This window comes from Homo sapiens, chromosome 10 (assembly GCF_000001405.40).
Source record: "Homo sapiens chromosome 10, GRCh38.p14 Primary Assembly".
Lineage (NCBI taxonomy): Eukaryota > Metazoa > Chordata > Mammalia > Primates > Hominidae > Homo > Homo sapiens.
In genome coordinates this window covers 21,684,346-21,699,847 of record NC_000010.11, presented here as the reverse complement: position 1 = coordinate 21,699,847, position 15,502 = coordinate 21,684,346, and the positions used below count along the sequence as shown (strand labels likewise).

At 36.2% G+C, this 15,502-nt stretch overlaps 1 protein-coding gene across 4 annotated transcripts in view; it reads right to left on the bottom strand.

Annotated features, from left to right (window-relative positions):
• The window catches only part of MLLT10 (MLLT10 histone lysine methyltransferase DOT1L cofactor), a 209,875-nt gene that overhangs the window by 43,783 nt on the left and 150,590 nt on the right, over window positions 1–15,502 (bottom strand). For 2 of the 4 annotated variants that reach the window (NR_136736.2, NM_004641.4), the window contains one exon: window positions 11,310–11,357. The exons of the other annotated variants lie outside the window; for them this stretch is intronic. Coding sequence is in view for 1 of the 2 variants with exons in the window: in NM_004641.4 (NP_004632.1) it covers window positions 11,310–11,357 (48 nt within the window). In the remaining variant the exon portion in view is untranslated. The remainder of the gene's footprint in view (window positions 1–11,309; window positions 11,358–15,502) is intronic. 4 annotated transcript variants of the gene reach the window in all.

Below are 15,502 nucleotides of genomic sequence, written 5' to 3'. Positions count from 1 at the left end.
AAGTAATCCTGAGCAAAAGAACAAAGCTGGAGTCATCATGCTACGTCACTTCAAAATATATTACAAAGCTACAGTAATCAAAAAAGCATGGTATTGGTATAAAAACAGATACCAATGAAACAGAATAGAGAACCCAGCAATAAACCCACTTTTTTTTTTTTTTACAGCCAACTGATTTTTGACAAAGGCACCAAGTACGTACACCGAGGAAAGGATATCCTCTTCAAAAAATGGTGCTGGGAAAATTGGATATCTGTATGCAAAAGAATAGAACTGTACCCCATTTCTAACCATACACAAAAGTCAACCCAAGATGGATTACAGACTTAAACATAAGACCTGAAAGTATAAAAATACTCAAAGAAAACACAAGGAAAACACTTCAGGACATTGGTCTAGGCAAAGATTTTATGGCTAAAACATCAAAATCACAAATAGACAAAATGGGACTACATTAAACTAAAAACCTCCTGCACAGCAAAAGACATAATCAACAGAGGAGGGAGACAAACTGTTGAATAGGAGAAAATATCTGCAAAGTATTCACCTGACAACAGACTAACATCCAGAATACACAAGGAACTCAAACAACAATTAAAAAAAAAAAAAAAAGATACCATTAACAAGTGGGCAAAGGACATGAATAGATATTTCTCAAAAGATAACATACAAATGCTGGGCACGGTGGCTCACACCTGTAATCCCAGCACTTTGGGAGGCCGAGGCGGGTGGATCACCTGAGGTCAGGAGTTTGAGACCAGCCTGGCCAACATGGCAAAACCCTGTATCTACTAAAAGTACAAAAATTAGCTGGGCATGATGGCACGTGCCTGTAATCCCAGCTACTACGGGGGCTGAGGCAGGAGGATTGCTTGAACCTGGGAAGCAGAGGTTGCAGTGAGCCAAGATTGTGCCACTGCACTCCAGCCTGGGCAAAAGAGCAAGACTCCGTCTCAAAACCAAACCAAACAAAACAAAAACATAGAAATGGACAATATATACATGAAAAAATGCTCAACATCACTAATCATCAGGGGAATGTAAATCGAAACCACAATGAGATATCCTATTACTCCAGTTAGAATGGCTATGATTAGAAAGACAAAAATGACAGATGTTGCTGAGGATGTGGAGAAAAATAAACTCTTATACACTATTGGTAGGAATGTAAAATTAGTACAACCACTATATAAAATAGTATGTATATTTATCTAAAAAACTAAAAATACAACTTCCACATGATCTAGCAATCCCAATATCAGGTATTTAAACCAAAGTAAAAGAAATGAGCATATCAAAGGGTTACCTGCACTCACATATTTATCATAGCATTTCTTCACAAAAGCAAAGATATGGAATCAACCTCAGTGTTTTTCAATGGACAAATGGATAAAGAAAGTGTAGTATATACACACAGTGGAATACTATTTGGCCATAAGAAAGAATGAAATCATGTCATTTCCAACAACATGGATGGAACTGGAGATCATTATGTTAAGTGAAATAAGCCAGGCACAGAAAGACAAATACCACATGTGCTCAACTCATATGTAAGACCTGAAAAACTTGATGTCATGGAGACAGAGAATAGAATAACAAATACCAGAGGCTGGCAAGAGTGTGAGGGTAGGAGGGAGAAATGAAGAAAGGTTGTTGAATGGGTACAAACATACAGTTAGATAGAATAAGTAAGTTTTAATGTTCGACAGAAGGCTAGGGTGACTATCATTAGCAACAATACATTGAATATTTCAATGAAGGTAGAAGAGAAGACTTGAAATGTTGCCAACACACAGAAATGATAAACATTCGAGGTGATGGATACCCCACATACCCTGACTTGCTCAGTATACATTCTATGCATGTAACAAACACTCAAACGTCCCCCATAAATAGGTAAATTATTATGTAGCGATAAAAGAAAATGTAAATAAGCAAGCATCTTTAAAATAAACAGGATAATATACACAATAACAGAAACACTTCTGTTGTTAATCGGTCTTCCCTTTCCCTTTGGCAACTAATGAATAAATACAACAGTCTTTATCTTTGGCTTTCCCTTTCTAGACTGTAGAATATATCTCCATAGAATTAATCCATTCATTACTCAGAAATGGTAAAATACAATTTAAGTTAGACCTTTCTTTCCTGAGACTCTCAGCAATCTCAGTGGAATACTGGTGTTCCTAAATCTCTCCAGGCAAGTGTTAACTATTTGGTGGGTTGCTCTATTTTTGCTTTATTAAAGATGAACATTTTTACTCATTATGTATTGCTTCTTTTGACATGATCTATACAATTGAACACAATCATTTTTAAAATTTGAAATACATGCGAAAGTAGGAAAAAATCATCAACAAACTTTTTTTGGTTTTTGTTTTCAGATGGAGTCTTGCTCTTGTTGCCCAGGCTGGAGTGCAATGGCACAATCTCAGCTCACTGCAACCACCACCTCCCAGGTTCAAGCGATTCTCCTGCCTCGGCCTCCTGAGTAGTTGGGATTACAGGCGCCTTCCACCATGCCTGGCTAATTTTTGTATTTTTAGTAGAGACAGGTTTCACCATTTTGGCCAGGCTGGTCTTGAACTCCTGACCTTAGGTGATGTGCCCGCCTCAGCCTCTCAAAGTCCTGGGATTACAGGCATGAGCCACCATGCCCGGCCTATTTCTGTCTTTTAATTCCCTAAATTAACTGTAACTATACACACCTAATAAATTCTCCCTCTTTTTTTTTTTTTTTTTTTTTTTGCTTAAATCAGACAGAATTCACTTCTGTGGATTATATAACAATCAACTCTAACTGATGGTATAATAAGTAAAGAAATAAGATGCTCAAAGATGAAGCTAGGGAGTCAACTCATGTAGAGTCTCACAGGCTACAAAGGACTTTTAAATTTTAACCTAACGGAAAGCCATTAAAACATTTTTAAGCAGAAGAGTGCCATGATTAGAATTATGTTTTTATAAGATCACTTTGGCTACAGTGTGGACGACGCCCTGAAAGACAACAGAGTGGAGTCAGGGAGATGACTTAAGTAGCTATTGTAATATTTTAGACAAAATATTTTAAGTACCAAATTCTGGCCAGAATTATGGAGTGAGAAAAGCAGCGGCTCGAGGAATTTCAATACTAAATTTGGATAAAGGGAAGCCACCAGAAAACTAAAAAGAAATTGTCAAAGAGTTGGACACACATGCTAAGCATAATGTTACAAAAGCAAAAAAATTTAAAATAACATTAAAATAGAAGATGTTTCCAACAGAAGTTCCTAGACAAAGACAAATGTGCATAAAGGTCATCTAAGATGAAGACTAAAAATACCCACTGACTTGGCAATGTGAGAGCCATTCTTGACCTGACTGGAGTAGTTGTAGAGGCCACTAAGAAGTGGTTTGAAAAATCAATCAATAGGAGAATTTCTGTTTCTAGCAACAAGGCAGATCAGACAACCTAAAACCCTTCCTAATTAAAATTACCTAAAAATGAGGGCACATGTTCTCAGGATCTCCTGAGGGCTGTGTCATAGGGAAAAAAAATATTACCTAAAAACAAATACCCGAGTCCACAAGCAAAGGAAATGTCTAGGGGTCAAGAATAAAAAGGAAACTTGAAGGCTTAAAGCTCAAAAAAAAAATAATAATAATCAAAAAAATAAATACATACTCAAAAAATAAGCAATAAAACTTAAAGGCCAAACAGGCTGCCTTAGCAGAGTCGGCCTGTCTCAATAATGTATGAACTTTGGTTTTAATGCCCAAAAGGAAAAGAGATGAGACCTTGTGCCTCTAATGGATGGATGGAAGGATGAAACTGAGATCCTGTTTATATGGCTGAGACTGTCAAAAAGCTACACTTTCAGTGGAAGGGCAGACCACTTAAAAAAAAAAAAAAAAAAACCCACACACAAAAATCACCCAAAAACCACATCATAGGGAGAAAATAATAATACTTGTCCAATTTGGTCTATGCTCTGGATAGGAGGTAAAAAGTCTGCCATATGAATTTATAGCCACATAGTCTTGTGTTCAAATAGACTTTGGTTTGATAAATCCCAACATTAAATTAACATAAGAAGGGACAGGGTGGTGAAGCAAACACAAACTTTTCTGAAGGGATATATCCTTAACCCACGATAAAACTTAAGTTCACAATCCAAAATAAGGAAACATGGAAGGAACCAATCCCCACGATGACAAATCAACAGATACAAACATTTAGACTGCCCTCCAAGACACTTCGAAAATAGAAATGGCAAATAAATATTATAAGATAAATATTTTAAATGATTAAGAACCTAAGAGGATGCATTTTTTAAATGTGAGAAAAGAACACTCTATATAAAAAAGAAGAACACAGAGTATCTTGTAGTGGTAGGCAGAATTCTAAAGACAGGTTGGTGTTTGCTATCCCCTGGTTATTCAATGAAACGCTAATCTAGGTACTGCTATGCAGACCGAATTAAGGCTATTGGTTAGCTGACTTGGAAACAAATTATCTGGGGTTATCTAGAAGGATCCAATGTAATCACATGAGCCTTTGAAAGCAGAAGAGGGGCTGAGTGCAGTGGCTCACTTGAGGTCAGGAGTTCGAGACCAGCCTGGCCAACAGGGCGAAACGCCTGTGATGACACACGCCTGTAATCCCAGCTACTTGGGAGGCTGAAGCACGAGAATCGCTTGAACCCGCAAGGCAGAGGTTGCAGTGAGCCAAGATCAGACCACTGCACTCCAGCCTTGGACGACAGAGGAAGACTCTGTCTCCAAACAAAAAAAAAAAAAAAAAAAAGAAGGTAGAAAGTCAGTGAAAGATGCGGCAGAAGAGAAAGTGAGAGATGCGGCAGAAGGCGAAGTCAGACAGATTCTAAGTGTGAGAAGGATTCAACTCATCATTGCTGGCTTGAAGACGCAGGGGCATGTGCAAGGTCTTTATAAAAGCCTCTAAGAGCTAAGGGTTTCTTTGGAAGCCTCCTGGTAAGAGCCCAGCTGGCCAGCACCTGGATTTCAGCCTTGCAAGACACTAAGCAGAGAACCCAGCCAACCCAAACTTCTACTGGTAAAATATGATAAATGAAAGCTAATGAATGTGTGTGGTTTTAAGCTGCTAACTTTCTGATAATTTGTTATGTCAGCAATGGAAAACTAATGTACTTACAGTGCCAGAAAGTAAGGAAGCATTCAAAGAATAACAGGGATATGTCAACAGAACAGAGAGCCAGCTCAAAGGGGCTCCCACTGGCTAACCTGAACAATTTTCAGCATCACAATAAATCATGAATAATAAATTATAGCCCACAGGAATCCTTAAACACATACTGATATAAACTGAAAATCTGATGGGGAATGGAATATTACATATAGTGTCACAATTTATTCCACAAAATAATTACTAATTGTAAAGGGGGAAAGAAAACCTTTACATTGGGAAAGCCTGATTATGTGTTATTGATAATATGCACTGCAAAGATAATTTCTATAAAATTCCTGCCCCCCAAAACATAATCTGAATTTAGTAATGAAAAATAAAATCCAAAACAACTACGCTGTGATCTCCAAAAACATTGACAACTGCCAAAACTTGAATGGCATTTGAAAACTAGATGGTAGTAATATAGCAGTGTTAATTTTCTGTTCTTAATAGCTATACTGTGATATTGTAGGAGAATGTCCTTGTTTGTAAGAAATACATAAGTATTCAGTGCTGATGGGATACGGTGCGCAACTTACTCTCAAATGGCTCAGAAAAACAAAGTTCTCTCTACTATACTTGCAATTTTTCCATGAGTTTGAGATTGCTTCAAAATAAAAATATTTTCGGATGTGGGAAAAGAACTACGCAGCTCTTTTTTTAAAAAGAAAAACAGAAAACCAAACTACATTCATTTTAAAAGAGACTTCAAAGAATTCAAACTTGAAAACAACATGTTCACTAAAATTCTTCACTCAATAGTCTAATAAAACAATAAATTAAACACAGCTAAAGAGATGATTAGTGAACAAAAACAAACATCTAAACAAATTACTCAGATATAAAAGAGAGATTTAAAAAATGGAAATTACAAAAACTTAAAGAACATTAAGGGCAGTATTCAAATCCAAATATGCCTAACAAAACTTCCAGAAGAAAGAATGGAGAGAATGGTAAGATGCTGTATTTTGAAATATAATGGCTAAGACTGTGTAGGGAATCGGTGAAACGCATGAATTCTCTCAATCAGGAAGCACAGTTAAGTCCAAGGAAGACTTAAGTCATACATAGACATATCACAAAAATAAACAAATGATCTTAAACGAGTGTGTGCTTGTAGAACAGTTTCAGGGGTAGGCGCACAAATAGGAATAAGTAAATTGGGGTTTTTTTTTCTCTGTGGAGGGGTTGTTTTCAAGAGGAAAGATACTAAGAGCACGATTGATGAAAACATAAGAGATGGTGACAAAAAGACGGTCAGGAAACTAAAATAAGGTTTTTTTTTTCCCCCTGGGAAAGACATCTAATATCTTGAGTACAGGGAAAGCAAAGGAAGAGTATGAGGAGTTAAATGTATACATATTAAACATGCATAGCAAAAAGTAAGTTTCCTAGAGAAGTATATTAACATTGCAAAGCAATTTAAATGTCAGCTGCAATTGTTATGAATCAATGAATGATATGAATTTTTACATGGGGTGATTTTTTCTCTATAAACACTAAGCTCAAATAAAGTATAAAAATATGAGTCATCAGGTTAATGAAGGAGAGTACTTCAGCTAAGAGATGAGGCACACCTAAATGAGTACAATCATAAGCCTAAACGAGAAGCATCATGAAACATACATACTACACAGTGATTTTTTTTTTCTGTTTCTTTAAAAAGATTAAAAGAAAGATTTAGTGGGGGAAAAAGTATCAACTAAAATGAAGAACATAATCTTATCAGATATGGTGGTTATCAACATAATTTGCCTTTCTTCATGAATATTTTTGTTTTAAATAAAAACATAAAAGAATGGCCACATTCATTTTTAGAAAACAGAGACAAGAAAACACAATACTCTTGAACCAGTGATTTTAATATAACCATTATGGCCAGGTGTGGCGGCTCATGCCTGTAATCCCAGCACTTCGGGAGGCCAAGGCAGGAGGATCACTTGAGCTCAGTAGCTGGAGACCAGCCTGGGCGACATTAGTAAGATCTCATCTCTACTGAAAAAGAAAAAAAAAAAAATTACTGGGTGTAATGGTGTGTGCCTGTATTCCCAGCTACTCAAGAGGCTGAGGCAGGAGGATTGCTTGAGCCCAAGAAATTGAGACTGCAGTGAGCTATGACGGCACAACTCTACTCCAGCCTGGACTAAGCAAGACTCTCTCTCAAAAATAAAAGAAAGATGTGGCAGAACAATAGGCCAGGCGCGGTGGTTCATGCCTGTAATCCCAGCAATTTGGGAAGCTGAGGCGGGAGGATCACGTGAGGCCAGGGATTTGAAACCAGTCTGGGCAACAAAGCAAGACACTGATTGATTAAATAATAATAATAATAATAATAATAATATAACCATTGTGATAATTTTGTCAATCCCCAGTACTTGCAACTTTTTGCTATGATAAATATCTCTGTATGTCTAGTCTTTTCATATTTTGTACATTTCCTTAGAATGGAAGTCACTTCTATTATTAAGTCCTTTTATTTTTTATTTTTCTAAGACAGGGTCTCATCTGTCACCCAGGCTGGAGTGCAGTAGCGTGATCTCAGGTCACTGCAGCCTCTGCCTCCCAAGTTCAAGCGATTCCCATGCCTCAGCCTCACAAGTACCTGGGATTACAGACGTGCCACCACCCCACCTGGCTCTTTTTTTTTTTTTTTTTTTTTTTGTAGATATGAGGTTTCACCATGATGGCCAGGATGGTCTTGAACTCCTGACCTCAAGTGATCTGCCTGCCTCAGCCTCCCAAAGTGCTGGGATTATAGGCGTGAGCCACCGTGCCCAGTCTATTAAGTCCCTGGCACCACAGTATTGGTACTTTCCTTCTTTCTAGGAAGTTTTCTTCATCTGATTTACCCATTTATTATTCTTTTCCTTGGCTGTAACCATTGCGTTATTACCCCTTTACTGTGTTCCTTGCTTTGACTATTATAAAATATAGCTGAATATATAAAATTTCTTTCTTTTTAAATTTTGTTTCAAATTACTACTATCTTCCCTCATGTCTTATGTTTATTATGCTGATTTGTTTTCTCTCTACAGTTCCATAAAAGACCTAATCTGGGTGGAAAATCAGATTTTCTACTATTGGCAACATGAAATAAAGTTTTTGGCTTCCTAAGCCAAAGCTATAAGCTTTCAGATACACCTTTGAAATAAAAATATTAGTTGCTCCTAATGCATGCATGATGGAAAAAAGTATGAGAAGCAAAATTCCAAATACCTAGCTGTTATTACATAAATATACTATTCTGTTAGGAATGGGCACATACATATATCCAGAGATATATATCCATATGTATATATCAAGAGATCCTGAAATAAAATGACCCTCTGAGTGTGAAACAAGTATATCAGTCATCTATAGAAACAGCCCACCAAGGACATGGTCTACAACTCCAGGTTTAATGAAGGTGATTGGGACATAGTTTCTGCAAATGCAGGACCAGAAGTTAATGTGAAAGGAAGCTGCAAAGTAGTGAAATACATTACACAGAGAGAAAAAAAAGTATTATCAAGATGATGATAATATTTAAACATGATCGAACTGCCTTTATTCTGATGTCCGATTCACTAAGCAAGCACTTTCCAATTATAATTTGTTTTCCCAAGAAGATTACCGTAAGGAAGAATAAGATAAGCAACATTTGGCATTCTTGGCAGTTATTATTTTTAAATCATAGATGATTAAATGACATTCTTCCCTACCTTCATTTCTGAGATTCTGGCTTGAGTAAGCCCATTTGATGAACTCTAGGTATACTGACAAAAGTAAAAAAGAGGATATTAGAATAATCTGTGCAAGAGATGATAAGGACCTGAATCAACACAAAAGAAGAGTTTTGAAAACGATAAAGAAAAATTAAATACAAAAGTCATGTCTAGAAAGCCTCAAATTAGTAAATTAGAAAAAATGTTCAGAAGGCAGCACTTGGTGATTTATGTAATAGTTAAGGAATAGGCAGAGAAAATGACAGACAGGCAGGCACAAACAGTAACTCCAGGACAGAGGTATTTCGGACAAAAAAATACAAGAGGAGAGGAAAGAGATCACTTCTCAGGCGACACTGAGAATTTAAAATAAAATAACTCGCTCAGATGCATAACCGTTGCATATTTAAGTATTATTTAATACTCTTATTTAATCATTAAAGCCCTATTCTGAAGTACACTAAAAAGAAAACGCTTTTGTAAACACATTCAAGTTACTACACATACCTGAAAGAATCAGTTCTTTTGGGGGGAAATCTATTTTTAAAATTTCTAATAATTTAAAAATTCATTAATTCAAATTATGAAGGTTTTAGAAAACTAATTTGGTTTGGTGGGGGGTTTTCTGACAGTGAATGTTTCCACAGTGATTCTCTGTCTTCCTTCAAACTTAATTTTTCTACATGTTCACTTGATCTCTTCCCATCTGCTCCAGATTCTTGATCTATGAAATATCACTCCTTGAATCTTAATCCTTAATCTCCTTTCTACCTATTAAGACTTCACTATTTTAAAATAAACCTGATTCAACCTCTTTCTGTCTTCTCTACCCACATTTTTCAGCCTATACTAGTCTCAGAGTTTCAGTTACTACCCCCTAAGTGGCCTAGTTTCAATTCTCTTTGGTGCCCAAGCTCTATTTAATTCTGTGCTAAACATCTCTACCTAAATATTGTGTTAGTAAATGAATACCCATCCTTTCCAGCTACTGTCATTACCAGTTCTTCTTGGGTAATACACATCTCATCAGTTTGACTTCCAGGATCCTCATTCAGGCCATCAATAAATTTGGTTAGATTGTAACAAAAAACTATTGGGTTACTCTGTTTCAGCATTAGCTCTTTTCCATCTTTTTACATGCTACCCACCAGTTGAAACTTCCTAAAGTACAGGTTTGATTATCTTTTTTCCAACTCAACACCAACTGCTTTCAACTCCTTGGACTAATAGCTAATGTTGTTATTTTTCATATCAAATATCAGTATCTTGGAGGTAAAACATGCCAAGAAAAAAAAAATATATATATATATATATATAAATGTGTGTGTGTGTGTGTGTGTATATATATATATATATAAAACACACACGCTATATATATATATATATATATATACATATATATATATATATATTACTTTACACAGCCTGTGTATTCTCATTCTATGCCATTGCTCATGCTAACTGTACATACCTCAGACTAAGAATCTAGCTCTGATCCCTGTATCTCCAAATAACAAAATTTTACATATTCTTTAAGTATCAGGTCAAACGTTACATTATCTGAATAGCTCATTCCTTCAGCTGAAAGCAATTTTCCCTGGCCTTGAACTCCTACTGACCATTAAAGAAGTTGTAAGTACATCCCTTGAAATTATTACATATATGTATTTCTCTTCCTTTTAGAGTGTATGTTCTCAAAGGGAGGACTCATGTGCCGCATCATTTATCTTTTGCAGTATACTTATTTCCCCAAAGCAACTAACCAGGACCTTACATATAGACATAAAGAAAGAACCTAATATATTCTTGTCAAATGATAAAAAGCTAAGACAGTCTCAAGAAGGAAAGTGCCATATTGAAGATACTCACAGCCTATAAAATTAGCTTTATCAGCATGTTAAAAATGAGGTTTGTAGGGGAGGGAAATGAGTGGATGCATACTTCAAGTGGTTAACAGTAGTGGATTTCACTCTGTAGTTCAGAATACACATGTTCTCTCTGAACTGATCCAGAGTATTTGAGATATATGTTAAAAGAATCAGAGAGTTATCATGATTATAAAACATGAAATATGTTCTCATATTCTTCCTGATCTCAGTGTGAGAAGGGACACAGGTGTACAAAGTGGTCTTCACAAAATCAGACCTAGGAGCCTAGGCCCTTACAAGTAAACAGTTTCAGGAATTCTAAGATCTACCTACCAAGTCTGAAGCAATATGACAAATCCAAATAACTACAACAATAAGAACATATAGTTCATCCCACCTACCACCCAAGGTTATAGATAATTCCTTTCAGGCATCATTTTTTTTTTATGAGTACATACTGCTAACACTGGTTTGTATGGGAAGGTTTCCAAGCTACAATAGGATTAATTTAACACTATTATGTTTAGAACCATGCTGGAGTTTGGTACATACCTATGAATTTAAGTTCTTGCTTTGTTAGTGTAGAACTGTCACCTCTGTCTAAAGAAAAGACACACTTTAATTTCAGATTTTTAATCACCACTTCCTAAAAACCACCATGACAGACAAGTTGAAAAACTGAAGATATTATGATGGGGTGCAGTGTGGGGGTGGATCATCAGGGTTAAAATCCCCATGAAACCTATGTAAATTTAAAAAATTGCAGTGCTCTAAATAAAGAGAGTAGTAATGGCATTACCAGTTAATTTAAAAGTAATTATTACACAACTCATTCCCATTTGTACTGCTTCCCTCACTCAGTTGGAACTTTTCAGCTTCCACCCCTCTTGCAGTTTCAATGAAAGAGTGTAGATTCATTTTCCATTATAAAAGTTAACATGGATACTGGAAACTACTTTTTCTCCCCAGTGGTGGACTCACCAGCCAAATGTGAAAACTACTTTTTCTCCCCAGTGGGGGACTCACCAGCCAAATGTGTTTATCCCTTAAGAGTCTTTGAAGCCTATCTTCAAGGAACCAAGAGCAACAAAATAGCCTGGATACTTTGAAATGGAAAAAGTCTTACCTATAAGTACATGTCTTATACTACCTTATTATAAAGGCTGTGTTAAATTAGTCAAATTCTTTCCTACACAGGCATAATCACAACCCTGCCCATAAGATTTCATACTATTTCATCATGTGTTCTGTCTCCCACAAACTCATCATAGCTCCTTACCATTTCTCTGATTCAAGACAGCAATTCTAAGGTCTAGGTTTACTAACGGTCAGGTGCCTTTCTCTAGAATTTCATTTCAACCCCCTAAACCAATGTGCTTTGCAGCTCTTTACTACGCCCAAGGCCTAGTTCCCTTCCCCTTTTTTTAACCTAATTATCCCTTACCAAGTGATTCACAGTTTGTGTGCATTGAAACAAACTTCGTAGCACTTGTTGTATCCTAGGATGTGACAGTTTACTGTATAAGCATAAAGAACACACTAACTCATAAGAAGAAAAAATGTCTGTTGTGATTAAAAGGAAATTAAATTTAGAATGAGCTAGATTCTCAATCTCCATACTGCTCACAGTGACAACTCATCCCCCATCAGTAATATCTCATTACACACAGTGAATCTCAAATGATACTGGCTTTGGAACAATTATATGAGCCTGAGTATTACTCATCCCACTTCATGGAATCCTATCCACTTAATGCTTCCCTGAAATAAAAAAGGGACACATATGAAGGACAAAAATTCAGTTTCTTATAAACTAGTCTGACAAGCCTAAGTAGAACCCTGTTCTTGAGGGAGAATGTTCACCTCTAAAATCAACTGGCATTTATACGTATACTCATCCTACAGCACCTATATGAATAACTGGTTAACATTACCTCCTCCAACAAACCCTATTTGTTTAGTGAGCGCAGTTGTCTCAAACCAGAAGCATCATAATTAAAGGGAATTTAAAAGTGCAATAAGTGGGACTTGGAACTCAATTAGCAATATACTGCTGTGAAAACTGATCTAAGTAAGCTCTTTGGTACTTTATTTATTTATTTATTTATGAAGCAGAGTCTTGTTCTGTCACCTAGGCTGGAATGCAGTGGCGCGATCTCACCTCACTGCAACCTTCGCCTCCTGGGTTCAAGCAATTCTCCCTGCCTCAGCCTCCCAAGTAGCAGGGATTACAGACACGCACCATCACGTCTGGCTAATTTTTGTATTTTTAGTAGACAAGGGGTTTCGTCATGTTGAGCAGGCTGGTCTCAAACTCCTAAGCTCAAGTGATCTGCCACCTCGGCCTCCCAAAGTGCTGGGATTGCAGGCATGAGCCACCATGCACGGCCCCAAGGAAATATTATATATTTACAGTCATAGATATTGAGTTTAAAGCATATGTCTTCATTTGTTCTTTCTCAGAGAGGATCTTAGGACTTAATGAAGGCGGTTCTTTTGGGTATGTGAAATAACTTCATAAACTTTTGAAATTGGTGTTTTCAGGTAAGGAATTAAGAATAATATTGATACAAAGCAAAGTACTTTAGGAAAACACCTAACCAATTTCAAACACCAATTTAGGTCCACCAGGATAAACTGCATATGATCAGAGAAATTTAAGAAATTTAAAAATTGAAGAAATAATATTAAAATTATTGTCCCAACAAAGGAAAAAGGAAACAGAAAAGTAAGGAAAGATATATTACGTAAAAGTCTCAGGAAATTTCAGAAACTTTTGAGGCAGTTTGGAAAGGGAAAGTAGTCATTTAAATATCTTAAAGAATACTATATGGAGAATTAACTTTAAATCGATGCCTATAAAAGAAAGTGCCTTGTATTTCATGTTTGGTTTTGTGGTGGTGCCCTGGAATGAAGCAGCCTAAGAGATTTCATGATCTTAATAAATTGTAAGTTTAATTTCGCTATTTCACTTAATAGAAGTATTTTAAATGCTTGTAAAAATGATGAAACAAGTAGTATGTATTAAAAGATTATAGTTCAGTTTTATAGTCCAGTTGAAAACTAGCATATCCTCCTCCTAGTTTTCATCTTTATGTCTCAGGGATGGTTTTGCTCTAGTATTTTCTAGGTTCTTTAATAATTTATTTTAGAAGTTGGCTTTTATTCATCTTATTTTGTCAGTATTTAGCTCATCATCTAATAGGCTTGCCATAATTGTTGAATGAATGAAAATTGTTAATTGCTACATTTTCCTAGAATAAGTTCCATATATATTCTTGGGAATATGTTAATTTTCTTTGGGAATTAAACTTTGTATTGGACTGTCTTGTTTCTTTCAGTATAGTAACTTGGTTCTTTGCTAAAGTAATAGAGTTGTTTCATACATTTGTTTTGGCCTTTCTCACTTTTAATATTATTTTGAAATGCTGGTTTAAAGTAGCCAAAGAGGCTGGGCACGGTGGCTCACGCCTGTAATCCCAGCACTTTAGGAGGCCGAGGTGGACCACTTGCGGATCACTTGAGTCTAGGAGTTTGAGACCAGCCTGGCCAACATGGTGAAACCCTGTCTCTACTAAAAATACAAAAATTAGCCAGGCATGGTGGTGGGCGCCTGTAATCCCAGCTACTCGGGAGGCTGAGGCAGGAGAATCGCTTGAATTCAGGAGGCAGAGGTTGCAATGAGCTGAGATGGCACCATTGCATTCCAGCCTGTGCAACAGAGTGAGACTCCATCTCAAAAATAATAATAATCATCTTTCCTTGGTCATTTCACTTGTATTAATTTTTCCAGAATAAGTTTTGTGAAGTAATAAATTTTAGTTTTATAAAGTCCTATTCAAAACATTTTGAAATGCATCAGTTGCTAGAATAAATGATGAAAATAATCCATAGTTTCAACTGTCTAATGAAAGCTTTTTTTTGAAGTTTCACAAATGTGAGATAAATATGACTAAGATATATTTCACAAAAACAAAAAAAAGTGTCCAGAGAAAGAGTAGAAATCAATTGGAGGAAGTATTAGAACATCACATATGAGAACCCAGAAGTATTAAAAAAGAGAGAAAGGGTTAATTCTATCAAAGAGTCTGAAAAAAAAACTTTGCAGGAAGTAAATGCAACTACACTTAGTTTTAATGACTACTTTTACTAGATAAAGTTGGAAGTCCACACCAACAGATACAAACAAGGTCTACGTCAGAGATGTTGCACATAGTAGTATAACATCAGGAAACTACAAGTAGCTTCTATTGATGCAACGTAAAGTCGGGGAGAAGAAGGGATGAGACTGGAGAATCAGATTACAACGAGATGAAGAAAAACTCCACATGCCATGTGAAGGAGTATAAATGTTATCCCATAAGTCCCAGAAAATTCTCTAAGTAAGACAGTTTGACATGGTCTGATTTGCACTTTAGATTGACCATCAATTCTAGTAGCATCTAGAAAAGGGACTGGATAATGGAATGAAGGTTAGGAGTTTGCTGAAACAGTTCAGATGACAATGTAGGACATAACCAAATGGGGCAGTGGAAATACAAAAGAAAAAGAAGTTAAACTGATCAATAATAGAAAAAAGCTTTTTAAAAAAATGATGACTAGGAAAATGAGAGGGTAGAGTTGAAGTTAACTTCCTAGCCTAAGTCTGGTTGAGGTGGCTGAGTATCATACGGAAATGAAGCTTATTAGGTTTTTCGAAATATAAGTCTGCAACTCAGGAGAAAAGTCTAAATTGGAGGCATCGA